The following is a 25,026-nucleotide window of genomic DNA, read 5'->3' on the forward strand; positions in this document are numbered from 1 at the left end:
TTGAACCTGGGGGGTGGAGGTTACAATGAGCCAAGATTCTGTCACTGCACTCCAGTCTGGGTAACAGCATGAGACCTTGTCTCAAAATAATAATAATAATCAGAGTAGCTGATACCTAGAGTAATTGTCCTATGCCAAGTGCAATTCTCAGCATTTTACTTTAGTCCTCAAACAATGGCACCATGAAGGAGGAACTATAAAGGTCCCTATTTCACAGACGACAGAACTGAGACACAACAACACAGCTCACTGGTGACAAGGCTGGAAACGAGACCTGGCGTTAACCCCTTGGCTGTTTGATTAGTAATTATTCTTATTTTTTAAATAAAAAGTCATTCTGATGGCTTCTTCCAACACACGAATGGGCCCCTGGGCCACCAGGGTGTGGCTGCCCTGCTTTGCAGACCAGTGTTCTGGAGTTCCGGCTCTAAAAATGTGGTGTATGAGTCACCCAGCCTCAGAATCCCTTGGGGTATCTGTTAAAATGCAGGTGTCTGGGCCCTGCCATGGGCCTATAGAATCACAGTCTCTGGCGGATGGCACCAGAGTCTGCATTTTGTCAGCATCTGGGCTGGTTCTGATGTGCTTGAGGTTGCAGGGGGGCTGCTGAACAGGATGCACGCTCGCCTCTGGCACCTGCCCTCTGTCCACCCCGGCCCCGCCCCCTCTGTCCACCCTAGCATGAGCCCTCCGTCCACGTTTGGACACCTTCCTACCTCAGCCTCCATTCCATCTACTTTTGGCAAAAATCTCTTAAGAATCAAAAAACAAGAGTTTTATCCTCTCCGTATCCTCAGCCGGCAAGGTAGATAATTATCCCGTTATACAGATGAGAAAATGAGGATGACTTGCTGATGTCACACAGCTAGAGCAGAGCCTCCGGAGAGGAAACCTGTTGGTATCTTGATTTTAGCCCTGTGAGACCCAAGTTGAACTTCTAACCCAGAGACCTTCTAGCTTTGAGCACTACATTTATGGTCACTTTCTTTTTTTTTCTTTTTGAGATGGATTTTCCTTCTTTTCGCCCCGGCTGGAGTGCAATGGCGCAATCTCGGCTAACTGCAACCTCCGCCTCCCAGGTTCAAGCGATTGTCCCGTTTCAGCCTCCCGAGTACCTGAGATTACAGGCATCTGCCACCACTCCCAGCTAATTTTTGTATTTTCAGTAGACATGAGGTTTCACCATATTGGTCAGGTTGGTCTTGAACTCCTGAACTCAGGTGATCCACCCGCCTCGGCCTCCCAAAGTGCTGGGATTACAGGCGTGAGCCACGGCGCCCAGCCCCTGTGCATCTCTTTTGCCCTATGGCTGACTCTCAATCCTCCCCACCCGGTTGACAGTCATCTCTGCAACTCTCCCTCTTTTCCACTTGCAACTTCCAACCTCCCCAAGTGCTGAGCACTCCAAGTAGTCTTTCTAATCCTCTCCCTGCTTTCTCTTAGCTGTCCATTATGTAGATAAACTTAAATTTTCTGCTTACTTTATGTCACTTCCTACAGCCACAATAGGAAAGTCTGATGCCAACGTTGGCTACTCTCTTCATTACTGGGTTCTATTGACTCGCCTTTAACCGCTGAGCTTCCACTGGGAGTTATGTGCCTGTTTCTGACTTCTTCACTATATGGTGTCTCTAATCTCCATCCTCTGCAGCTTCTACTGCAGGGCCTCTGCCCTGGCTGTTCCCTCTACCTAGAAAGCTCTTCCACCAGATATCTGAATAGCTTACTCCTTCATGCCTTACGGGCTTTTGCTCAAGTATCATCCAATTTAAAGTTAAAATCACCCACCACTGCTGCATGCTCCTAATCCTAGGCATTTTTCCTAGGCATTAATTTTTCCTATGGCATTTACCACTATGTGGCATACTATATATTTTACTATTTACTTGTTTCTTGTAAAATGCATTAGGGAAAGGATATTTATTTTGTTTTTTAAATTTTTATTAATTTTTTTTTTTGAGACAGAGTCTCGCTCTGTCACCTAGACTGGAGTGCAGGGGCGTGATCTCACTGCAACCGTCGCCTCCCAGGTTCGAGAGATTCTCATGACTCGACCTCCCAAGCAGCTGGGATTACAGATGCCCACGATGATGCCCGACTAATTTTTGTATTTTTAGTAGAGATGGGAGTTTCACCATCTCTATCCTATGTGTGATACTGTCCTATCGTGTGATTTCATGTGTCATGTACACTAGATGCCAGATTTGTTAACAGAGGTCGATAGTGCTAAGACTTTCTATTACCGTGTTGCAGTGATGATGAAAAGGAAGAAGTATACCTGTTGTGTGTTCATAAGGGAAATATTTTTAGTGTTTCACAACTAAAATCCCTAAATCAATCTGGAGCAGAAAAAAAATCATCCATTTCTCCAGTTCAGAAAGATGCAGTATTTTGAGCACTTGTTAATGAAATTTCCAGAAACAGAAGGGATTGTTGCCATTTTTCTGATGTCCTGGAGGGTGTAACAAATGAGGAACTTTACCAATCAGCTTCAAGATGAGGAATTTAAGACATTTGGCATCATCACAAGTCACAGGTCATCAGAAAAAGACAGGTTTAGAAGACTCGTTACACACATACTCCCAGATGTGCAGGTTAAATTCCAGAAGCTGAATAATAACTGAAATATTTGTGCAAATGTATATGTCAACTTCCCAGTTCCAAATACCATTCCAGTTTTTAGAACCATAAAGTTCTTCCCAGTTATAAATTTTGCATAATTTAAATATTTTATATTTTCACGATTGTCCTAATTCTTTGACAGTAGGGGTCATTGTCTTAAGTTGTTGACAAGCGCCTCATAACGGGTATTCAAAAATTTCTTTCAAGTAAAATATTTATAAAGTTCACTTTATGCTTATAAACTGCTGCGTTGCCCTAGACCGCCCGCACAAGCCCTTGGAGCACAACTTGGTCAGCGCAGAATTTGGTTCCTATCAGCTTCCGTAGCGTCCCTAACGACTTCCGCCTCTGGCGGGCCGCAGTGGTGGAGGAACTTCCGGCAGCGGCAGCTCAAGTGGCCAAGGCAAGATGGTGAGTGACTAAGGGTTTCTTTCCGCTGGTCGTCGCGGTGCGATGGGGTCTCAGCAGCCTGAGGCGAGAGAAAGAGGCGGCTGCCCGAGGAACTGGGACAGCCCTCTTCTCCTTTTGCCGGCCTGATCTTCTCGGCGGGTGGAGGCTCCCAGAGACCGCGCTCATGTCCACCGCGGGCCGGGGCCGACCAACGGGCCTTGCCCGGGGATCCTGGGGCCGGGGCTCAGAGCAGAGAGAGGGTCTCCTGCGTGGTCTTGTGGGGCGGCAGAACGGATCAGGCCGCTGGCTTTGCTGCTCCGCCGACCAGGGCTTTGCTGATCGGCGCTGGGAGTTTCGGGGGCGCCTCCTCGAGTCACCGGGAAAAATGCTTTTTGAGTCGGGCAGGTGAAGGGTGCTGGAGAAGAGGGTGGGATTCATTCCACCTGAGGAGTTGAGCGCGGAGTCGTGGAAGGCCTTTCGGAGCTGGGGGCATTTGAAGGAGGCCTTAAAGACGTTGTTATGACAGGCGGAGCTAAGACGGAAAGGGCCCGTGGTGCAGTAGTAATAATAAAAACAGCTAGCATTTATTCATCAATTCACTAAACAAGTATTTACTGAGCACTTGGTGTTTTGTTGTTGTTGTTAAACTTTTGGCTAGCTTCTGTTGTAGACACTGAGGATTGATTGAAGTCCCTGCCTTCATAGTGCGTACATTCTAGAGCAGAAGGCAGACAATCATCAGAAATATGTAATATGATGTCAGGGGTGGGGTGGTCATTGTTGTATGGTTATTGTATAGAAAGGGATAGCTTGGAGGAGTGGCTGCTTTTTATAGAGTCAGCGAAGGTAGCTCTGAGGAGGTGAAATTTGAGCGGACCGAAATTGAGGGAGTAACCCCTGCAGATGTCTGAGGGAAATGTGGTCAAGGCAGAAGATACAGCAAGTGCAAAGGACCTGAGATGGGAATGTTTAACCTGTATCATGAACGGCAAGAAGGCCAGATCTCATAGAGGTCTTTTTTATTTTAATTTTAATTTTTATTTTTTTGAGACGGAGTCTTGGTCTGTCGTCCAGGCTGGAGTGCAGTGGCGCGATCTCCGCCTCCCGGGTTCAAGCGATTCTCCTGCCTTAGCCTTCCAAGTAGCTGCGACTATAGGCGCCCGCCACTACGCCCGGCTAATTTTTGTATTTTTGTAGAGACGGCGTTTCACTCTGTTGGCCAGGCTGGTCCTGAACTCCTGACCTTATGATCCGCCCGCCTCGGCCTCCCAAAGTGTTGGGATTACAGGCGTGAGCCACCGCGCCCGGCCTCATAGAGGTCTTATACGGATTTCTGGGTAGTATTCTAAGCATGTACCAAGTACTTTTCCAGCATTTTCTCATTTATTACAACAGTTCCCTCGAGGTAATTACTACTGTCCTCATTTTGATAAGGAAGAAATGGAAACACAGTAAGTGGCTGTGCTGGAACACAAGCCCCATCGTTTTTTTTCTAGAACAGTAGAGAAACACCCAGGTTTTGGCATTCAGCAAACCTGAATGTGATTCCTGGCTCCATCTCTGACAAGCTTTGTGACAACAGGCAAGTCATTTAAGCTCTCTGGGCCTTGGTCTTCTTATCTGCAAATGAGGGGGTAATGATGGTACCAGTGTCATCGTGTTTGTAAGAATTAAGTGGGATAATACTTGGAGAATGTTTAGGACACTGCCTGGCATATAGTAGGGGTTCAGTAATTGATGTACTTGTTATTTAAGACTGAGAAACATGTAAAATGCCCAAGAGGTGAAGAAGTGTTGGTGTATTAATTTAGAAGTGCCTGTGTGGAGCTGATTTGAGGGAGCTGAGTGGGCCCTTCTAATCAGTAAGTTCACTCATCTTTATATTTGAAATGCCACCATTTCTGAGACATTGCTCAGTGTTAAGCATTGTCCTATAACTGTAGGGTCTCTTAAAATCAGGAATCCCACTGAGTTTATTAATACACTAAGTTCTTAACACCTTAAGGTGATGGAGCTTTTCAGATTGAGAAGAAAGACCTGCCCCAGAGCCCCCTGGCTTTAGGGGTAGGAATTGGATAAGGTGCTATTGGAAGGAAAGTCTTCTGGATCTTGGTGTGATCTAAGTAAGGGGTAAATGATTGGTAAACGATTTTTGAGTGTGTAAAATGACGTAGCTTTCATAGCCTGATTTTATGGAATACATTCTTGATAGCTTCAGTCCGGTAGTTTCCTATCAAGAGATGTGAAGCTCCATATTTTCCCCTCAAGAGGGGGGTGATCTTAAGACTCTCAGCCTCTTTAGTTGTATCTACTTCTCAATAGAGTTGTTCTTGATTCTAAGATGCAATCAATTGCCAGGTGCACCAGTAATCTATCGAACATCTTTTCAGGGAAAAAGAAATTCTGCCACACTAAATGCACACATTGACTGCAAGTATTACATCTTGGGTTCAGAAATGTTCAAATGAGGGAGAAATGTTACTCACAGGACATGTTATAGACTCACAGGACAGTATAAAGTTATTCTTTTGAAGTGATCATATTCTGAATTTACATCTGTGCCTGATTTTTCTCCTCCAGGGTCAAAGTCAGAGTGGTGGTCATGGTCCTGGAGGTGGCAAGAAGGATGACAAGGTAAATATGCCAGATTTGTCCTGTGATATGAGCAAATTGTGGAAAATGTCATGGGTCTCGGCTGAGAAGTTCTGTGGGGATTCATGAATTTTAAAAAGTAGAATGATCCAGTAGTTTTTAAACTAGCCTGTCCTACAGATACAATAAATATGCTTTTCATGCTTTAGAAAAGGTTATTGACCTAACCATCAGATAGGTATTTATGAGTTATTTATTTGTGTAAAAGCAATGACATTATAGAAGTATTAAAGTAAATTGCCTATAATTTTGGTGTCTAATAGCCTGAGGTATGAAGATTGTCTCAGGTTACCTAAACTTTTGGCATATAACTTGATTCTTAACCCTCTATACCTTATTGGAATAATATGGCTAATTGTCACTTATGTGTATGGTAAAACGATTACATTTATTTTCATTTGTTATTATTATTATTATTGAGACGGAGTCACCCAGGCTGGAGTGCAGTGGCATGATCTCGGCTCACTGCAACCTCCGCCTCCTGGGTTCAAGCAATTCTCCTGTCTCAGCCTCCCGAGTAGCTGGGATTACAGGTGCCTGCCACCACACCCGGCTAATTTTTGTATTTTTAGTAGAGATGGAGTTTCACCATGTTGGCCAAGCTGGTCTCAAACTCCTGACCTCAAGTGATCCTCCCGCCTCAGCCTCCCAAAATGCTGGGATTACATACGTGAGCCACCACACCCAGCCTACATTTACTTATTATAATCATATTTACTTATTAAAATTGCAGGAATGTGAAACAAGTCAGGTTTTTAATAACATCCTAAAAGATAAGGAAAATTGTACCACCTGAAAATAGATGATGGTGGTACAGAAATAAATGTGTGTTTTAATATGATTTTCATGTGATTTTTTTTTCCTGCTATTCTAACAACTCAAGGACAAGAAAAAGAAATATGAACCTCCTGTACCAACTAGAGTGGGGAAAAAGAAGAAGAAAACAAAGGGACCAGATGCTGCCAGCAAACTGCCACTGGGTAATGACATGGCTTCTCCTTGCCATCTTTCCAGTTCTTAGGATAAACCATCTCTGTGCATGTAGCTTAGAGTCTGAAAGGGGTAACAGGAAGTAGAGGGGCAACTGAAGCTCTAGCTTTGTGATTCATTTCTACCTCACTCTTGAGTGTGGCATTCCTCTAGGTTGGCATACAAGTTATCTTTTGTTTTAAAATACAGTATTATATGATTGTGTCTCACTTTAAGAAATGTCACCGTGGCGGGGTGCGGTGGTTCACGCCTGTAATCCCAGCACTTTGGGAGGCCGAGGCGGGCGGATCACAAGGTCAGGAGATTGAGACCATCCTGGCAAAACACGGTGAAACCCTGTCTCCACTAAAAATACAAAGAATTAGCTGGGCGTGGTGGCGGGTGCCTGTAGTCCCAGCTACTTGGGAGGCTGAGGCAGGAGAATGGCATGAACCCGGGAGGCGGAGCTTGCAGTGAGCTGAGATTGCACCACTGCAGTCCAGCCTGGGCGACAGAGCGAGACTCCGTCTCAAAAAAGAAAAAAAAACAAAAAAGTCACCATTTTTCTTTAACTGGCTCCTCTAGTGGATTGAAAGTATAGTTTTAACTCGAACCCAGGAGGCAGATTGCAGTGAGCCAAGATTGTGCCACTGCACTGTAGCCTGGATGACAGAGCAAGACTCTGTCTCAAAATAAATAAATAAAATAAAAGTATAGTTTTAAATGACAAAACCCAGGTTGAACTTTAGTAACTAAGAATCATGTTTATTTCATGAAATGAAATGCCACTGTATTGAAATTCAGATCATGCAAGCCTGAAGTTATAATAAAATTTTTCAATGGCTTCCTGCCGAACATAGAATAAAATTCATACCAAGTGACCTGACCCAGCCCACCTCTCCGACCTCAGCCCTGCCACTCCCCCTTGCTCATCGGTCACACTGCCTGCCTTATGTTTTTTTGACTTTTGTACATATCAGGGCCTTTGCCCTTACTCACTCCTCTGCTTAAAATGTTCCCCCAGTTCTTCTCATGGCTACTTGCTTCTCATCCTTTAGGCTTCAGCTCAAATACCTCCCCAAATGCTCATCTAAATATGCTCTTCCCTGCTTAGAAGAAAAAACTAAGAAGAAATACTTAAACTACTTTAAAAAATATTGTTCAGTTAATTGAAGGAAATCAGTAAAACCAGCCATTGGTCTACCATAATGAATTGGTATGGTATTGGTACAGAAAGAGGCCACCAGAACAGAGTAGGAAGTCCAAAACCAGTCATGTTACATGGATATTTAATATACATTGAAGGTGCCACTTCAGGTCTGTGGGGAATAGGGTGGGTTATTTAATATAAAAGGCATTTCCATCAGAGAAATGCAAATCAAAACTACAATGAGATACCATCTCACACCAGTTAGAATGGCAATTGGCAATCATTAAAAAGTCAGGAAACAACAGGTGCTGGAGAGGATGTGGAGAAATAGGAACACTTTTACACTGTTGGTGGGACTGTAAACTAGTTCAACCATTGTGGAAGACAGTGTGGCGATTCCTCAAGGATCTAGAACTAGAAATACCATTTGACCCAGCCATCCCATTACTGGGTATATACCCAAAGGAATATAAATCAAGCTGCTATAAAGACCCATGCACATGTATGTTTATTGCGGCACTATTCACAATAGCAAAGACTTGGAACCAACCCAAATGTCCATTAATAGGCTGGATGAAGAAAATGTGGCACATATACACCATGGAATACTATGCAGCCATAAAAAAGGATGAGTTCATGTCCTTTGTAGGGACATGGATGAAGCTGGAAACCATCATTCTGAGCAAGCTATTGTAAGGACAGAAAACCAAATGCTGCATGTTCTCACTCATAGGTGGGAATTGAACAATGAGAATACTTGGACACAGGGTGGGGAACATCACACACTGGGGCCTGTCGTGGGGTGGGGGGAGGGGGAGGGATAGCATTAGGAGATATACCTAATGTAAATGACGAGTTAATGAGTGCAGCACACCAACATGGCACATGTATGCATATGTAACAAACCTGCACGTCATGCACATGTACCCTAAAACTTAAAGTATAATAATAATAAAATTAAAAAAATATAAAAGGCATTTCAAAAGTTTTTGTCCAGAGAAAATGAAATTAGATTCTTGACTCTTGCCAAATGGAATACAGGTATACATGTGAAAATAAATAAATGAAAATTCAGAAATATATTTAACCTTAGGGAAGAAGACAGTTTTTGAAGTAACTTGGAAAACCCAGAAACCATAAGAGAAAAGGTTGACATATTTATCTGTAAAAATGATACAATTCCCAGCACTTTGGGAGGCTGAGGCAGGTGGATCACGAGGTCAGGAGATTGGGACCATCCTGGCTAACACGTTGAAACCCCGTCTCTGCTAAAAATCCAAAAAGTTAGCTGGGCGTGGTGGCACACACCTGTAATTCCAACTATTCGGGAGGCTGAGGCAGGAGAATCGCTTGAACCCAGGAGGCAGAGGTTGCAATGAGCTGAGATCGCGCCGCTGCACTCCAGCCTGGGCGACAGAGCAACAAGACTCCGTCTCAAAAAAAAAAAAAGACACAATTCTTACGTGGCTTGAGACTTCAAAGCCAAAAGAAACAATAATGTATGGAAAAAAAATATTTGCCATATATGTGATAAGCAGGGTTAATATCCCTGATATTTCAAAATTCTACAAATAGATGAGTATGTATATAGCCAGCATACAACAGTGTATACTGCCTGAGCAACATATGTAACTTTTTATTAGTACCTATGGGAAAAAATAAACCAGACCCAGGTATCTGATGGGTCAGTAGCTTTTTTCTTCTTTAAGTATACAGACTATTCAGCCAGGGTGTGTCATTTGGGGCTAGCTATTTGGTCATAAACCCCATCCCCATTTTGAAGGGCTTGATTATATAACAGCCACACTCCCCTTTCCATTTTGGCACCGGTTTACTTAGAGTTACCAAACTGAATTTTTCTGAAGCTATCGCCAACAAAAATGAGCGTATTTTAAAATCTTAATATTTTTTCCTTACTTGCAAACTTCAGGGTCCACATATAATGAAACTTTATATTTAAATTTCAGTGACACCTCACACTCAGTGCCGGTTAAAATTACTGAAGTTAGAGAGAATTAAAGACTATCTTCTCATGGAGGAAGAATTCATTAGAAATCAGGAACAAATGAAACCATTAGAAGAAAAGCAAGAGGTAAGTTGAAAAGTTACTATCATTTTCTTTTTTACAAATTGAATTCTATAAAATTGTCAACAAATAAATGAAATTCAAGTAGCTGAACCTGTCCAGGCTTTCATGAGTATTATTAGCTGCCTTTTACAAGCATCGGCTGCTTTGTAAATCTAGCGAACTATCAGGATCATCTACTTTGAGGTCTAGTCTGCTTTTTTCCCTTGGCATTTTCATATGTAGGAGGAAAGATCAAAAGTGGATGATCTGAGGGGGACCCCGATGTCAGTAGGAACCTTGGAAGAGATCATTGATGACAATCATGCCATCGTGTCTACATCTGTGGGCTCAGAACACTACGTCAGCATTCTTTCATTTGTAGACAAGGATCTGCTGGAACCTGGCTGCTCGGTCCTGCTCAACCACAAGGTGAGGTGATAGTCTTTTTCAGAAAGCCCACGGAAGTGCTTTCTCTTCTCACTTAGGTTCATCTTCCTGTCCCGTGGAAGTAGATCACCAAAGCACTCCTCAGGCAGAAGGATGCCATGACTGGCATTGCTTTGCTGTAAACAGATCCAGCAAACCTCACGTTCCTGTGTTAAACCTTGATGTTTCCTGTTAGGTGCATGCCGTGATAGGGGTGCTGATGGATGACACGGATCCCCTGGTCACAGTGATGAAGGTAGAAAAGGCCCCCCAGGAGACCTATGCAGATATTGGGGGGTTGGACAACCAAATTCAGGAAATTAAGGTATGATTGATTGGTAACCATCTCTGGGTTTCAGTTTTGGTTTCTGTTGTCCCATTTAGGATACTTTGCAGGTGTTTTGTATGTTTGCTTATTTATTAATCAAACCAGTAGCTGAGTCAGAGCTTGCCAGTTGTGGTATTTTTGTATTTGTTAATACTGAGTTAGGTGATAGAAATAACAGTCAGTTGTGTGATAGTTCCTGCAGCAGCTGCAGCTTCCTTCTTTTTAGTGTAATGTTGAATGCATTGTCTGTGTGAATATGTAATGTTTCTGATTATGTTGACTTCAGTTGTGTTTATCTGGAAGCCTCCAGTGCTTTGTGGAGATAGCATGTGTACTTGCACACATTTAGACAGCAGTGGGGTTGGAGCATAATCCCAGTGCCTTCAGCAGCCCTGGGGGCTGGACCATATGCAGGGCATATGGTCATTGAGGATGGCCGTCGGCTCTCTGCATGATCTTTCATAGGGAAGTCATTCCGAGCCATCACAGATCTCTGCTAGGGACCTCTGAGGCAGCTGAGAAATAGCTGTAATGTCCCTAGATGGGAACAGCCATCAGGAAGTCTTTCCTAGTCCTATCTGTAGTTTAATTGAAAAGGGTCAACTTGAGCTTTATTAAGTCTCTCTTGCTCAAGAAGAGCTCCAGGCTGACTTCTACTAGAAAGTAAAAGGGGAATTGGGTGTGGTTAGGGAGATGGAACGGGTGCGGGGAACTCAAGCAGGACAGGTGTCATCTTCAGTATGTCTTTGCTGCTAATAGAAATCAAGCACATTGTCTCTAAGAAGAGTAATTGAGATTTTTACTTATTTTTGTTGAAAGCAAGATATTGTCATGTTGCCAATTAGTAAATATGCTAATAATTTCAGTAAAGCCTTTCATTCATACTGTTTTTCATAGGAATCTGTGGAGCTTCCTCTCACCCATCCTGAATATTATGAAGAGATGGGTATAAAGCCTCCTAAGGGGGTCATTCTCTATGGTCCACCTGGCACAGGTATGCTCTGTTTTTGACACTTTCCAGGCACCCAGCTGGTCTCTTGAGCAGCAGCATTGGCTAGTTATAATTACTGAACTAATAAGAGAGGACACCACAATTCCTTAGTTTAAAACAGGGCTGCTCAACCTTGTCTGCATGTTGGAATCACCTTGGGAGCTTTAAAAATACTGATGGAAAAAAAAAAAAAAAGCCTGAGCAACTTGGTGAAACCCTGTCTCTATAAAAAATTAGCTGGGCGTGGCCGGGCGCAGTGGCTCACGCCTGTAATCCCAGTACTTTGGGAGGCAGAGGCGGGTGGATCATGAGGTCAGGAGTTCGAGACCAGCCTGGCCAATGTGGTGAAACCCCGTCTCTACTAAAAATACAAAAATTAGCCGGGTGTGGTGACGTGCGCCTGTAGTCCCGGCTACTCGGGAGGCTGAGGCAGGAGAATGGCATGAACCCGGGAGGCGGTGCTTGTAGTGAGCGGAGACAGCGCCACTGCACTCCAGCCTGGGTGACAGAGCGAGACTACATCTCAAAAAAAAAAAAAAAAAAAGATTAGGTGGGCGTGGTAGTGCATGCCTGTAGTCCCAGCTATCCAAGAGGCTGAGGTAGGAGGGTCACTTGAGCCCTGGAGGTTGAGGCTACAGTGAGTCATGATCACACCACTGCATTTCAGCCTGGGCAACAGAGTGAGACCCTGTCTGAAAAAAAGAAAAAAAAAACTGATGCCTGACCCTTCCTCAAAGATTTTGATCTATTCATCTGGAGTATGGCCAAGCCTAGGAGCCATAGTGGAGAAGTGCTACTTTAAAAGCTCTATTCTGAGCATGGTGGCTCATGCCTATAATCCTAGCACTGTGAGAGGTCAAGGCGGATGGATGACTTGAGGCCAGGAGTTCAAGACCAGCCCGGCCAACATGGTGAAACCCCATCTCTACTAAAAATACAAAACTAGCCAGGTGTGGTGACACACATCTGTAGTCCCAGCTACCTGGGAGGCTGAGGCAGGAAAACTGCTTGAACCTGAGAGTCTGAGGTTGCAGTGAGCTGAGATCGTGCCACTGCACTCCAGCCTGGGTGACAGAGCGAGACCATCTCCAAAAAAAAAAACAAAAAAAACCCACCCTATTCTGCAGTATCAGATTCATTTGGTAGAGCTCAGGACTTAGAAGTTCATTGCTGTGCAGATTCCAAAGGAAGCACAGTCATTTGAGAGAATTGACAGTGTTCCTAAGAAGATCCGTGCTGAGGGGTACCCACAATGGAGAGACGGAGACACCTGTACCCAGAGGCCGAGAGCTAGAAGAGATCCCTCTTCTACAGCCCCTCATCTTACAGCTTAGGAAATTATGTTTCAGAATGGCCGGTGACTAGCCCAAGGCCCCTGTGGGAGTTGAGCTAGTAACAGGGCTGGAGCTGGAACACAGGCCTCCTGACCCACAGCTGCAGGCCCCCTGTGGGGCTCTAGTACTAAAGGGGCTGCGGTACAGGGCTGGGAGGCAGGACTGGACAAACAAGTCTGTCAGAGGAGCGGGCAGCTTGTTCAGTGAGCCCTCTGACCGCAGAAGCAGCCCACTGGCTAGACTTGGCTGCTTCTGCACGATAACATCCTATCCACTGGAAAGGTCCTATTTGTTTTCTGTTCACCTTCCCTCATTGATGCTTTCAGGGAGCAGTCCAGCCTTTGCATCTGCTACTCTGCCTGTCTAAAAGCAACATCATTGCCACATGTTGCAAAGCTGAGCTTTGTGTCAGCCATCCCATTTCTGGAAAGTCTTCCCTGTCACACACCAGCTAGCCACCTCCACACTCCTCCCGTGCTGGCCCGAGGCTGCCAGCTCTGCCCCTAACTGCCTCTGTATCCTGAGGCACCTACCCAGCCCTTGTCAAGGTCCTCACTGACCACCAAAGGATCCCAGGTCTTCCAATTCAAAAATTCTCAAGTTGGGCACTCTTTGCTGACTCTTGTTTTTCTTTTCTTTTTTTTTTTTTTGAGACGGAGTCTTGCTCTGTCGCCCAGGCTGGAGTGCAATGGCGCGATCTTGGCTCACTGCAATCTCCGCCTCCCGGGTTCAAGCGATTCTCCTGCCTTAGCCTCTCGGGTTCAAGCAATTCTCCTGCCTCAGCCTCCCGAGTAGCTAGGATTACAGGCATGTGCTGGCTAATATTGTAACTTTTTTAATAGAGACGGGGTTTCTCCATGTTGGTCAGGCTGGTCTTGAACTTCTGACCTCAGGTGATCCTCCTGCCTCAGCCTCCCAAAGTGCTGGGATTACAGGCGTGAGCCACCGCGCCTGGCCAGCTGACTCTTGTTTTTAACCTGAAACAGAAATATCAGCAAGTAGAGCAGTATTGGAAATGATGTTTGAGCTCTTCCCTGAGATCAGTGGGAGGAACTGCCTCTCCCTTGGAAGGGCATGCCACAGCAGCTCTCACTGTGGCGTTCATCAAGAGCTGGTCCTGTCTCAGCTGTCTGAGCTGGCAGCAAGCCCACCCAGTAGCTACTTTTCTGGAGCAGTAGGCACTGCATGCCTGGAGCTCAGGAACACTTCGTGTATCTCCTTAGGGCCAAAGCTAGGATTCCCAGACCCTTTTTTCCAGCACTGATGGTTTCCTAGGAGTTTACTTTGGCTCTACAGCCCTGGGTTGGATGGGTCAGGTTAATGTATGCAACTTTGAAGGGGCCCAAGACAGACTCAACCAGAGAAAAAAATGAGATTTATTTCATTACTGGAATGAAGCAATTCTTCGTACAGGTAATTATAGTTCGCAGCTTTTCAGGGGAAACTGGGTCAAGGTTGGAAAATAACCAAGTAAAAAGTATTTTCTGACGTTATCATAAGTTCAGCAAAATAGCTAAGGATAATCCAAACATGTTAGTAGATTTTTCTAAATGTCCTCTTATCTACTTAGGAGAATGGAATGTCGTGACACTTGAATTGGTGCCATGCCTTAGCATGAGGGCCCGCCTGTTTTTGGTGTCCATTTAAGGTGGTAATGATACGAGTTTTTAAGTTAAAATGGCACTTAAGGTGTCTTTTTTTTTTTTATCTTTTTCATCCAAAATAGGTAAAACCTTGTTAGCCAAAGCAGTAGCAAACCAAACCTCAGCCACTTTCTTGAGAGTGGTTGGCTCTGAACTTATTCAGAAGTACCTAGGTGATGGGCCCAAACTCGTACGGGAATTGTTCCGAGTTGCTGAAGAACATGCACCGTCCATCGTGTTTATTGATGAAATTGACGCCATTGGGACAAAAAGGTAGACTTTCTCATACTTATTTTGCCTTGTTTAGTAGGGAACACCGCATAGCTCTTCTCTTGAGAATGAGCAATCTCAGGGGGCTCTCCCTATGGCCACAGTTCTTGCTGTGCGTGGCCTTCCATGCATGCTTTAGGCTCTGCTCTCCCAGGAGCCAGCTAACAACTGCCCAGTAACTGTGAACGTCTGGAGAGATTGGTCAGTTATGAATAACCATGTCTTGAGCACCCGCCCTGATCCAGGACCATCTGGACTCTAGGGACACAGTTGTGAGCACAAGTCTCTGCCCTGGAGGAGCTCACAGGTTGTAGGGATCAGATACCAAACATGGAAACAGAATAAATGATACAATTTCAGACACAGAAACTGCTATGAAAAAATATGATCTGTAACTTGGCTGATGGGAGCGTCTTAGTCCATTTGTGCTGCTAAACAAAATACCTTAGGACTGGTATTTGTATAAAGAATAGAAATGTATTTCCCACAGTTCTGGAGGCTGAGAAGCCCAAGATCAAGGCACTGGCATTGATGTCTAGTGAGGGCTGCTCTCTGCTTCCGAGATGGCACCTATTCTGCAGAGGAGACAAATGCTCAGGGGACAAACAAAAGAGCAAAAAGGGCCTACACTAGTTCCCTGCAGCATTTTTTATAAGGAATACATGCTGTATAAGGCCTTTTTCTCTTTTTAGAAGGAACTCATGCTGTATAAGGCTCTGCCTCATGCCTTTAGCCCTTTCCAAAAGGCCTCATCTCTTAGCCACACAGTAGGGATTAAGTTTCAACACATAAATTTGGGGAAATACATTCAGACCATGGCAAGGGGTGCTGAATTTATTTTTTCCGAGCATAATTGAGGGAGTGCCATGTGAGTTGAAACAGGAATGTTTGTTAAGGTGTTTTGTCACAATGAGGTCTTTGCTGTAATTCCCCTTGAGCAGGCGATCAGTTGAGTCTTCATTCCTTCCCTTTTTTTTTTTCCAAAGATATGACTCCAATTCTGGTGGTGAGAGAGAAATTCAGCGAACAATGTTGGAACTGCTGAACCAGTTGGATGGATTTGATTCTAGGGGAGATGTGAAAGTTATCATGGCCACAAACCGAATAGAAACTTTGGATCCAGCACTTATCAGACCAGGTTAAATTTGCTTTGGTTTCATCATGGAGATTAATGTGTTTATATATTTGTGTTTAAGTGTGCTTTGGGAGGCCTATAAAATGATACATAAAAAAGCAAATACTGCAGTGAAACTTAGGATAATTTACAAAAAAATAGGTCCTCTTGAGATGAGGGTTAAAACAGAGCATGATATGGTCTGTGCACCTTGGCCCTTTGAATTCCAGTCTTATGTCTTGTCTTTTCTTTTCCATAACATTCCCTTTTTAGCCTCAAGAACTTGCTGCTTTTTCTGGAAGAAATAATTCATGTGATGGTAGGATTTGTCCTTTTTACATTCAGGTAGCATCAGAAGAAACAGTGATTTGTTTGCTGTCTTTTGTAATGTTTTTAACACAATAGGTCTGCCCAGTTTCACTCAGGAATTGCTCCTTTCATTTATTTCTGAAGGTACCAAAGCAGAGAGAGTTTCTTTTAAATGAAGAGAATTCAAATGTAGAAATCTACAAACTACAAAAATATATGTTTACTTTTTAAAATTTAGACATCCTTCCCACAGAATTCTGTCCGACTGAAACTTCGTATGTAAGGAGATGGGCTGAGGCCTCTGAGCCATGGCCGAGCCTGGGTTTGGATGTTGGTGTGACTTCAAATCTCTTTGTACCTGCAGGCCGCATTGACAGGAAGATTGAGTTCCCCCTGCCTGATGAAAAGACGAAGAAGCGCATCTTTCAGATTCACACAAGCAGGATGACGCTGGCTGATGATGTAACCCTGGACGACCTGATCATGGCTAAAGATGACCTCTCTGGTGCTGACATCAAGGTGAGAGCCTAGCCGTGTCAGCTTATTTCTGGGAATGTGGCCGTCAATCAGGAAAGAGTCTATATGTGCTCTTGGGATGGTGGTTGGCCTGGACAGGTGGGTGTCTGTATTTTAATCATCATATTGGTTTACGATTACATCCAAATGGTATATGTGCTTGATATTGAAGTCATTCTTAATGCATCATTTTATGCAGTGAATGACGCTAAATCACCTGGAGCCACAAGGCTGAGTCGCTGGTACTAAGCCTTAGGCCCAGGTGACTTTCTCAAGGTGTGTCAAATGTAGCTGCTCAGTCCCAGGTCAGGGGAAGGGTATGTCCTGGGAGAACTCTCCCCAGAGCCGCAGAGTGGGGACCAAGCACCCGCTGCATTCATCTCCCAATCTGTGTTCTGGAAGGTTGTACCAGATTATACTTCTTGGTTTTATGACAAATGTACATGAGTTAGGACATTTCCTCCCAGCTGACCAGAATTTACAGCAAGGTCTGGCAGCGTTGAATATGGGTTCTACCTGCTTTTCCTGGAAAGAGCTGGGTTTTCGTTGGGCATAAATGCCATGGTTAGGTAGGGACAGCACAAGCAGTGCCTTTCCAGGCCAGCACCTGCCCTGAGCCCACGGATCATTGGCAGTTAGTCCTAGAGAACTAGATGTCTCTGTTGGCAAGTAAAATCTATCTTCTTTTTTAAAAATTGAAAGATCTTAAAATTTTAAGATAAGAACTTACTTTGACAATTTTCAAGCCTTCAAAAAAGTTGCAACAATAGCACAGTGATTTGCCAAGAGTTAACATTTTACCTGTTTGCTTTTTCTCTTTCTATACACAAAACTTTCTTTTCACCCGAACCATTTGAAGTAAATAACCTGATGGCCATCACCAAACAAACTTCTGTGCCAGGATTGTGTTTTTTGCCACATCTTGTTTTTGCCACAGTAATTACTGGCCAAAAGAAAAAGAAAACAATAACAGTAACCCACATAATATGTTTGTTTGCTGTCCTTCTCTATCTATTTCCTTCATTTCTCTTTCCTTTCTAAACAGATCAGGCCTAAAACAATAACAGTAACCCATGTAACATGGGTTATTGTTTTCTTTTACTTTGGGCCAGTAATTACTGAGAAATTAAATATATTGGAATAAATGCTATACTCTGTAGTATTATTCCATAGTATAGATACTGCCACTTACAGTATCTAACCAGAATACATGTTCTTTTATGACTATAAGTAAATGAAATAGACATATACTGTCAATTGCCTCTAAGTTTCAGGGCATAATTTTGTTTATTTCCTAGGAATATTATTCTCTTTAACAAAAGTGGTGTTGTACAAGCCACATAGCTTGTTAGAACCTGAGCCAAAACTAGAACCCACAGCCCTGACCCTTGGGTCAGTCTTAGTTACAGTAACTCCCAGTTTAAGCCACTTCACATCCTTTCAGAAAATAGGATGCTTAAAACATTTTTTTTAAAAATCAAATCTTTCCCAAATAAGCAATTTGTGTTTAGTCTAGGTGTCTCATGCTTTATTTCAGAACAGATTTTTTTTTTTTTTTTTTTGAGGTAGAGTTTCGCTCGTTGCTCAGGCTAGAGTGCAGTGGCGCGATCTCGGCTCACTGTAACCTCTGCCTCCCGGGTTCAAGCAATTCTCCTGCCTCAGCCTCCCGAGTAGCTAGGATTACAGGTGCCTGCCACCGTCCCTGGCTAACTTTTTGTATTTTTAGTAGAGATGGGGTTTCACCGTGTTGGCCAGGCTGGTCTTGAACTCCTGACCTTAGGCGATCCACCTGCCTCGGCCTCCCAGAGTGCTGGGATTACAGGTGTGAGCCACCGCGCCTGGCCTCAGAATAGGTTTTTTGGAATTCCTTGTTAGAATAAAAATGAGTATGTCACTTTCTGAACACACTCTTCTTTCTTACAGGCAATCTGTACAGAAGCTGGTCTGATGGCCTTAAGAGAACGTAGAATGAAAGTAACAAATGAAGACTTCAAAAAATCTAAAGAAAATGTTCTTTATAAGAAACAGGAAGGCACCCCTGAGGGGCTGTATCTCTAATGAACCATGGCTGTCATCAGGAAAATGGTTGGGAGATTTCTCAATCCCTGAAAGGGATGAGGTTGGGGGAGTTGCCCAGAGGAATCCCTGTTCCCACTGATTTTTATTAGCAAAACATCCTGTGTCTTTTGGAGTACGATGTGTAAGTGCCCATTGGGTGGCCTGTTGGTCACTGTGCAGCAGTCTGCTTCCCAATAAAGCGTGCTCTTTCACAAACACTTCCTGTTTCTGCAGTCTCCACACACACCTACCGCTCAACAGCAGCCTGTGGGTGGACCCAGCTACAGGGAAGCCTTTGGACAGGAACTCAGGCTGCGGTCCCAAGGAGTGTGGACCTCACTATGCGTTCGCCACATCACACCCCCAGAGCTGGCGTTCAACGGTAATTACAGTGGGAAATGGTCACTACCACAGAGCCAGGGATATTCGTTGTTTAAATAATAAAGGCTGCGTTAATGTGGCTATTGCTTCCAAAGGAAGTACAGCTTTCCTTTTTGGAAGTTTTGTGGACCATGCATGTTCTTAGCACTCTGAGGGCAGAAAATAACTACTGGTGTTCCCAAGAGACTGAGGATTCCTAGAGATATCTTGAAAGCCCTTCTGAGCCCTTGGGCTCAGAAATCTCATCCCTTTCAAGGTGTTCAGAAACATGTCAGAACTTCCCCTTCCCTTTCTCCGTCTATTTCCGTCATTTCTCTTTCTGAACAAATCAGGCCTAAAGCTATTAAGTGGGACAGATCAAGGTAAGCGTTCCCTTGACAGGTGGCCTGGTGTGGGTTGTAGGGCCCACACTGAATGAGGAGTGTGTATTAGTTTTCTGTTAATACTATAACAAGTTACCACAGGCTTTGTTTAAAAACAGCACAATTTGGCCAGGCACGGTGGCTCACGCCTGTAATCCCAGCACTTTGGGAAGCTGAGGCAGGCGGATCACAAGGTCAGAAGTTTGAGGCCAGCCTGGCCAACATGGTGAAACCCCATCTTTACTAAAAATACAAAAATTAGCTGTGCGTGGTGGCAGGTGCCTGTAGTCCCAGCTACTCAGGAGGCTGAGGCAGGACAATCGCTTGAACCCAGGAGGCGGAGGTTGCAGTGAGCCAAGATCCCGTCACTGCACTCCAGCCTGGGCGACAGAGCAAGACTCCGTCTCAAAAATAAATAAATAAATAAATAAAAACCACAATTTTATCTCAGTTCTGTAGGTCAGAAGTCCAACACGAGTGTCTCCAGGCTAAAGTCTTGCTGTTGGCAGGACCGTTCCCTCTGGCGTCTCTAAGGGAGAATCCGTTTCCTTGCTGAGGATTATTGTTGGCAGAATTTAATTTCTTGGAGTTGTGGGCCAGCTGAGGTCAGCATTTCCTTGCTGGCTGCCAGCTGAGGCCTTTGCCAGTCTGTGAAGGCCACCCTCCCTCCTGACTCGTGGCACTTCATTTTCCACCAGCAGCAGCAGGCCCAGTCCCTCTCTCCCACCGACCCTTCTTTCTGCCTGCCTTTTCTATTCTTATGGATCCTTGTGATTGCATTGGACCCATGCAGATGATCCAGGATAATTTCCCTGTTTTAAAGTTTACAATCTTCTTAATTTTTATCTGCAAAGTTCCTTTTGCCATGTAACATTCACACGTTCCAGGGCTTAGGGTGTGGCCATCTTTAGGGGCGCCACTCTGCCTACCACAGAGGACATCCACACGTGGGGGTGGCCCAGTGCAGGGTAAGGACGGGGTGCTTGTGGGGAGGGCGGGTGTCAGCCCAAGTAGGGTGTGGAGCTGTCCATGTGGAGGAACACCACAGCACGGGGACTCAGCATGGGCAGGGTGAGGCTGGCATCCGTGTGGGGTGTATGTGCAGGGCTGGGGTGGTCCGATAGGGGGAGTCAGTGTGGGCAGCCTGATGTGCAGTATGAGAGCCCAAGTGGGTGAGGAAGGCATCTGCAGGGACGGGGTGGTGGCAGGGGAGGGAGGCTGCTTATGTATGGAGGCAGTCAGGCAGGTAAACAGGACAGTGGGAGCCAGGTTTCTCTGAGGAGTTAGACACAGAAAGAAGAAAACAAGAACGACCTCTGTCCACTGGGAGCACCTGGGAACAGTGACACCCCAACTGCAGTGAGCACCCCTAGACCCAGACCTTTGCTGCTAAAAGTATTATTCTCCACTAAAAGGAGTGAGGGCTGATTCCGGGGCTAGGCAGGGAAAGGACAGGATGAACCCAAAGTCTGTTTTGCCAGAAAGCAAGGGAGTGCTCAAGGAATGATAAGGACATGTCCTAAGGACACCGAAGCCTATGTGAAGGGGCTTCCACTGGCCAAACTCGGGACAATCTGAGCATCCTAACAAACAGTTACTATTAATGGAATACAGTATAGCCCTTTAAATAGGGAACTACACACACACACACACACACACACACACACACACACACACACACACACACACCCCAATACATATGAATTGATCTGAAAGTTTGCTGAGGAAGGGGTATTTACAGATTTTGAGAGTCTGCCACAAAACACTGTTCAGTTAGAAAGGGAAAGTCACACTGGAGATGCCCAGCAGACACCGTCTTCACCAAGTGGTCAAATGCACATCATCAGTAATGGGCACTTTGAAAGTACGTGCCACCCAAGAGTGTCAGTGCTGTCACACTCCTGCCAAAGATGCTTAGCCTGAATCCAGTGCTGAGGAAACACCAGGCAAACACAAACTGAGGAACATTCTACAAATTCAGAACACTTCAAAAGTATCCACGTCTTGGAAGTCAAAAAGCTTCCAATCAGAAGGAGACCAAAGAGATGACAACCAAGTGCAGCTCCTGCTCCTGAACTGGATCCTTTTCCTAGAGGACATGACTGGGCCTGAGGACCTGCTAGGAGTACTGCGTCCATGCTGACTTCCTGTTCAGTGTCTGTATCGTGGGCGGGTAGCAGACTCTCAGCAACTGACTCACACGGTTCAGGAAACAAAATTCTTTGTAACGCACTTGCATCTTTTCCTAAGTTTGAGATTAAAAAAAACAAAAAACCCCAGCACATCAGTATTGCCTTTTCCTCATTGGTAATAGCTGAGCGTTTTCCTCTAGAGGGACAGTCTCCCTCATGTCAATTCTACAAAAGCAGCTAAAGCAAATGCCAGGGCCTAGAGTGTCAGGGTAGCGGGCTGAACTGCGCCCCACCCCAGCTGCTTCTCCAGTTTGCTTACTGACCAAAATGCTGAAATTACCGTTTCGGCAGCTGGTCACTGAGGCCTGCGGTGCCAAGTGCAGGGATGCAGGTATGAAGTGCTTGTGAAATAACAGAATTCCCACAGTAATTTCTTCCCTGGCTTCCTGCACTGGTGAGCCGGACAGGGAGAACCCCGTCTGCCTGCGGAAAACCCACTGGCTCTTTGGAGCCCTTCCTCAGTAGAACAATTTAAGGTGAACTCTCCCATCACTCCCTCTGCAGCAAGCCTATCTTCACTTTTCCAATGCAAAATGATATGTGTGCCTTACAAGTAGTAGCTGCCTCCTCCTACTGGGAACACAGCACAGAGGTGCCTCCTGGCCTCCTGCAGGCCCAGCAATCCTGTGCCAGAGGCATTGCCACTGCTTCATTCCAGGAAAGAACACTGTCCCAAACCCGAGGTGGGCCGACCCCTGTGGTCTGATGTGATCAGTGACTCCTTCGGGGAAATGACGAGCGTTCCTGATGAAACACATGAGCCACTGTTTGACTCCAGCTGGGAACCCCCTTCTCAGCCCTCCAAGCTGACGGTTAGTCTTGGGAGGCACGTAGTCATCTTTCAGAAGTTCATGTCAGCAATCTCAAACGGGCTGTTTTTTTTTTTTTTTTTTCGAGACGGAGTCTTGCTGTGTCGCCCAGGCTGGAGTGCAGTGGCGCGATCTTGGCTCACTGCAAGCTCTGCCTCCCAGGTTCACGCCATTCTCCTGCCTTAGCCTTCCGAGTAGCTGGGACTACAGGCGCCAGCCACCACGCCCGGCTAATTTTTTGTATTTTTAGTAGAGACGGGGGTTTCACCATGTTAGCCAGGATGGTCTCGATCTCCTGACCTCGTGATCCGTCCGCCTCGGCCTCCCAAAGTGCTGGGATTACAGACGTGAGCCACCGCGCCTGGCCTCAAATGGGCTTTTAAATAACAACAGTGATGCTCTTGACATCTTGTTTTCTGTAAAATGCCCTCAAGGAATCTTTGATTTGTTTTAAACCTCCTCCCATGCAGCAAGTAATGTGCTCGCAATCTGTTCGAGCAGCCGCTTTATCCTCTCGGGGGCTCACTGCCCACTGCTAAGAGCCATTCCTGGCTCTCAAGGGACAGGTTGCCACTGGGGTTTGGAGGGAACCAGCTGATCAGAGGCCACGCCCTTCTAAGTTCTGAACCAGATGAGAAGAGACATGAGTCAGATGGGGACTGAGGCGCCAGCTGCTGTCATGGGGAGCATGGTTTGGTCCTGGACTTCCTACTCCCTGCCCCCAATCAGGTCGGTGACATGTCTGGCTGATGTCTGCCCCACGCAGAGGACAAGGGTGGAGAAGGTCCCTCTTTGTGGGCAGCCAGGAACTCATGACAGTTCAAGCCAGTTAGCTCTCAGGGAGGGGGAGCAAGTCCACCTCGGAGTGGAGCTCTCAACTTCCTCAAGTTGAGGGTTGTTTCTGTGAAAAGGCATCAAGGGGAGCAGCTGACGACCTGTCTGTCGCTAAGGAACACCCGGTGGGCTTCTGCCTACAGCCACCTGTAGCTCAGGGACTGGGGACGAGCAGGAGAGGGCAGTAGTGGGGCTGGGCTGGCCAGTTTCCCACCGTGCCCTGGGAGGTGCTCTCGTGCGCTGCCCTGCCTGCTGCTGCCCGCTGCGTCCGTCAGTTGCCAGCCAAAATTATACACTGGCTTTTCTAAATGTGCTGAGGAGATACAAGTATACAGCAATTCTAAAGAGAGGAAAACAAAACAAAAAAAGCCAGAGAGAAGCTAGCCAGTCTAGAGCTCGGAGAAGATAAGAAAACCATTCCTTCCAGCCATATGTTAATAGTGAAAATCACTCAGCACTAAAAATCTCTTCGGAGGCAGAACAAGTCTGAAAAATGGATGTTGACATTTCATTCTGTTCACAGCCCTCGAATGCAACACCAGAACCAGGCCAGCCTTGGCCTTCATAGTGTAAGCAGCGTTGCTGCACAAGCGTGCCGGGCCCCTCATGCAGGCAGGGCTGGGGCTGGCGGTACAGCGTGCTCGGCTCCTAGACGGCTTGGGAGCAGGCTTCCCCCAGAGGCTGCCAGTGCCCCGGGCAGCCTTCCACACTCAAGTGGCCTGGGACCTGCTGAAGAGCGGGTTCTGACTCCACAGGCCTGAGTTTTTCAGCAGCCCCAGGGCACGCTGCCCCTCCAGCTCCAGGCGGAGGCATCGCCGCCGAGGTAAACTCAGGGAACTTGCCACACACTGCGTGCAGGCCAGAACACCAAGCGTTAACTGCGGGTCTCAACACAAGAGCAAAATCTCCTGCTCACCAGCCTGGGGAAGACATCCTAGTGCTGAAAAACCAGACCTTTATCTCAGAGAGGGCCTGGCAGGACCACCACGACACCAGCGGAGGGAACACATTCACCGTGCGGGGGCCAGTGCTGGCTGCGCACAGGGAGAGAATGAGCAAGGACGCTGCCACGCCTCAATCATCATCGGTTTAATGACCACGTGGCATGACTCTCTGGCTATGTACATATATACACATATTCACATATATAATATGTAAATAACTTTTGTGTCATTTACACACCCAAAAAGTGTGCAAGATGTGAGAGGCTGGCAGCCCACATTATTACTATCGAGAAAGAACATTTCAAAAGCCGAGTTCTCCTAACACACACGTTCTCTGCTCGCGCCTCCTAGCTCCGCAGGGTGGGCAACTTGGCCTCGCAGGCACAGCCCGTTTTCCCGCTGCTCTCTAATCCTCCAGCAGCAGCTCCAGCTCCTCCAGCGGCAGGCGCACCCGGAGCTCCTTCTCAGTCATCAGGTCCAGGATCTCCTGCATCTCATCGGGGAAATACTCCACGGCGTCCAGGTACAACACCTAGGGGGCAGGCAGGAAGGCCGCCCCACTCAGCCGCCACTTCCTGTCAGCCTGGAGGAGCTCAGGAAGCAAGGGCCAGGTTCCTGGTGACCCTGCCCTCCTGTCGCCCTCCACGGCCCCTGCTCCCCTTGG

The 25,026-nt window shown here is 46.0% G+C and overlaps 2 protein-coding genes across 3 annotated transcripts in view, besides 4 other annotated features; one reads left to right on the forward strand and one right to left on the reverse strand.

The window, feature by feature from the left end:
- Positions 2,632-3,161: an enhancer, noted in NCBI's record as "OCT4-NANOG-H3K27ac-H3K4me1 hESC enhancer chr14:90722543-90723072 (GRCh37/hg19 assembly coordinates)". NCBI's record gives its function as "activates a minimal SCP1, AML or CMV promoter by ChIP-STARR-seq in primed H9 embryonic stem cells {active_cell/tissue: H9 hESC(primed)}" and the evidence as "EXISTENCE:reporter gene assay evidence [ECO:0000049][PMID:30033119]".
- Positions 2,632-3,689: a biological region, named in NCBI's record as "OCT4-NANOG-H3K27ac-H3K4me1 hESC enhancers GRCh37_chr14:90722543-90723072 and GRCh37_chr14:90723073-90723600".
- PSMC1 (proteasome 26S subunit, ATPase 1) lies at positions 2,986-21,862 on the forward strand. Of its 2 annotated transcripts, NM_001330212.2 has the most exons (12): positions 4,372-4,417; positions 4,509-4,594; positions 5,593-5,646; positions 6,548-6,644; positions 9,751-9,875; positions 10,095-10,280; positions 10,474-10,602; positions 11,503-11,599; positions 14,657-14,846; positions 15,830-15,981; positions 16,631-16,785; positions 18,706-21,862. In NM_001330212.2, the coding sequence occupies exons 5-12, from the start codon at positions 9,816-9,818 to the stop codon at positions 18,838-18,840; spliced, it is 1,104 nt and encodes a 367-aa protein (NP_001317141.1). In that variant the 5' UTR covers positions 4,372-4,417; positions 4,509-4,594; positions 5,593-5,646; positions 6,548-6,644; positions 9,751-9,815; the 3' UTR covers positions 18,841-21,862. The 2 variants fall into 2 exon arrangements, with proteins under 2 accessions (NP_002793.2, NP_001317141.1); NM_002802.3 differs by lacking the exons at positions 4,372-4,417; positions 4,509-4,594 and adding an exon at positions 2,986-3,033.
- Positions 3,037-3,276: an enhancer, noted in NCBI's record as "active region_8874". NCBI's record gives its function as "activates an Ori minimal core promoter by ATAC-STARR-seq in GM12878 lymphoblastoid cells {active_cell/tissue: GM12878}" and the evidence as "EXISTENCE:reporter gene assay evidence [ECO:0000049][PMID:35858748]".
- Positions 3,162-3,689: an enhancer, noted in NCBI's record as "OCT4-NANOG-H3K27ac-H3K4me1 hESC enhancer chr14:90723073-90723600 (GRCh37/hg19 assembly coordinates)". NCBI's record gives its function as "activates a minimal SCP1, AML or CMV promoter by ChIP-STARR-seq in primed H9 embryonic stem cells {active_cell/tissue: H9 hESC(primed)}" and the evidence as "EXISTENCE:reporter gene assay evidence [ECO:0000049][PMID:30033119]".
- Positions 14,293-25,026, reverse strand: part of NRDE2 (NRDE-2, necessary for RNA interference, domain containing) — a 64,082-nt gene continuing 53,348 nt past the window's right edge. The window contains exon 14 of the mRNA NM_017970.4: positions 14,293-24,894. Coding sequence (NP_060440.2) covers positions 24,769-24,894 — 126 coding nt within the window. The 3' untranslated portion in view covers positions 14,293-24,768. The remainder of the gene's footprint in view (positions 24,895-25,026) is intronic.

Source organism: Homo sapiens, chromosome 14 (genome assembly GCF_000001405.40).
Source record: "Homo sapiens chromosome 14, GRCh38.p14 Primary Assembly".
NCBI classification, from domain to species: domain Eukaryota; kingdom Metazoa; phylum Chordata; class Mammalia; order Primates; family Hominidae; genus Homo; species Homo sapiens.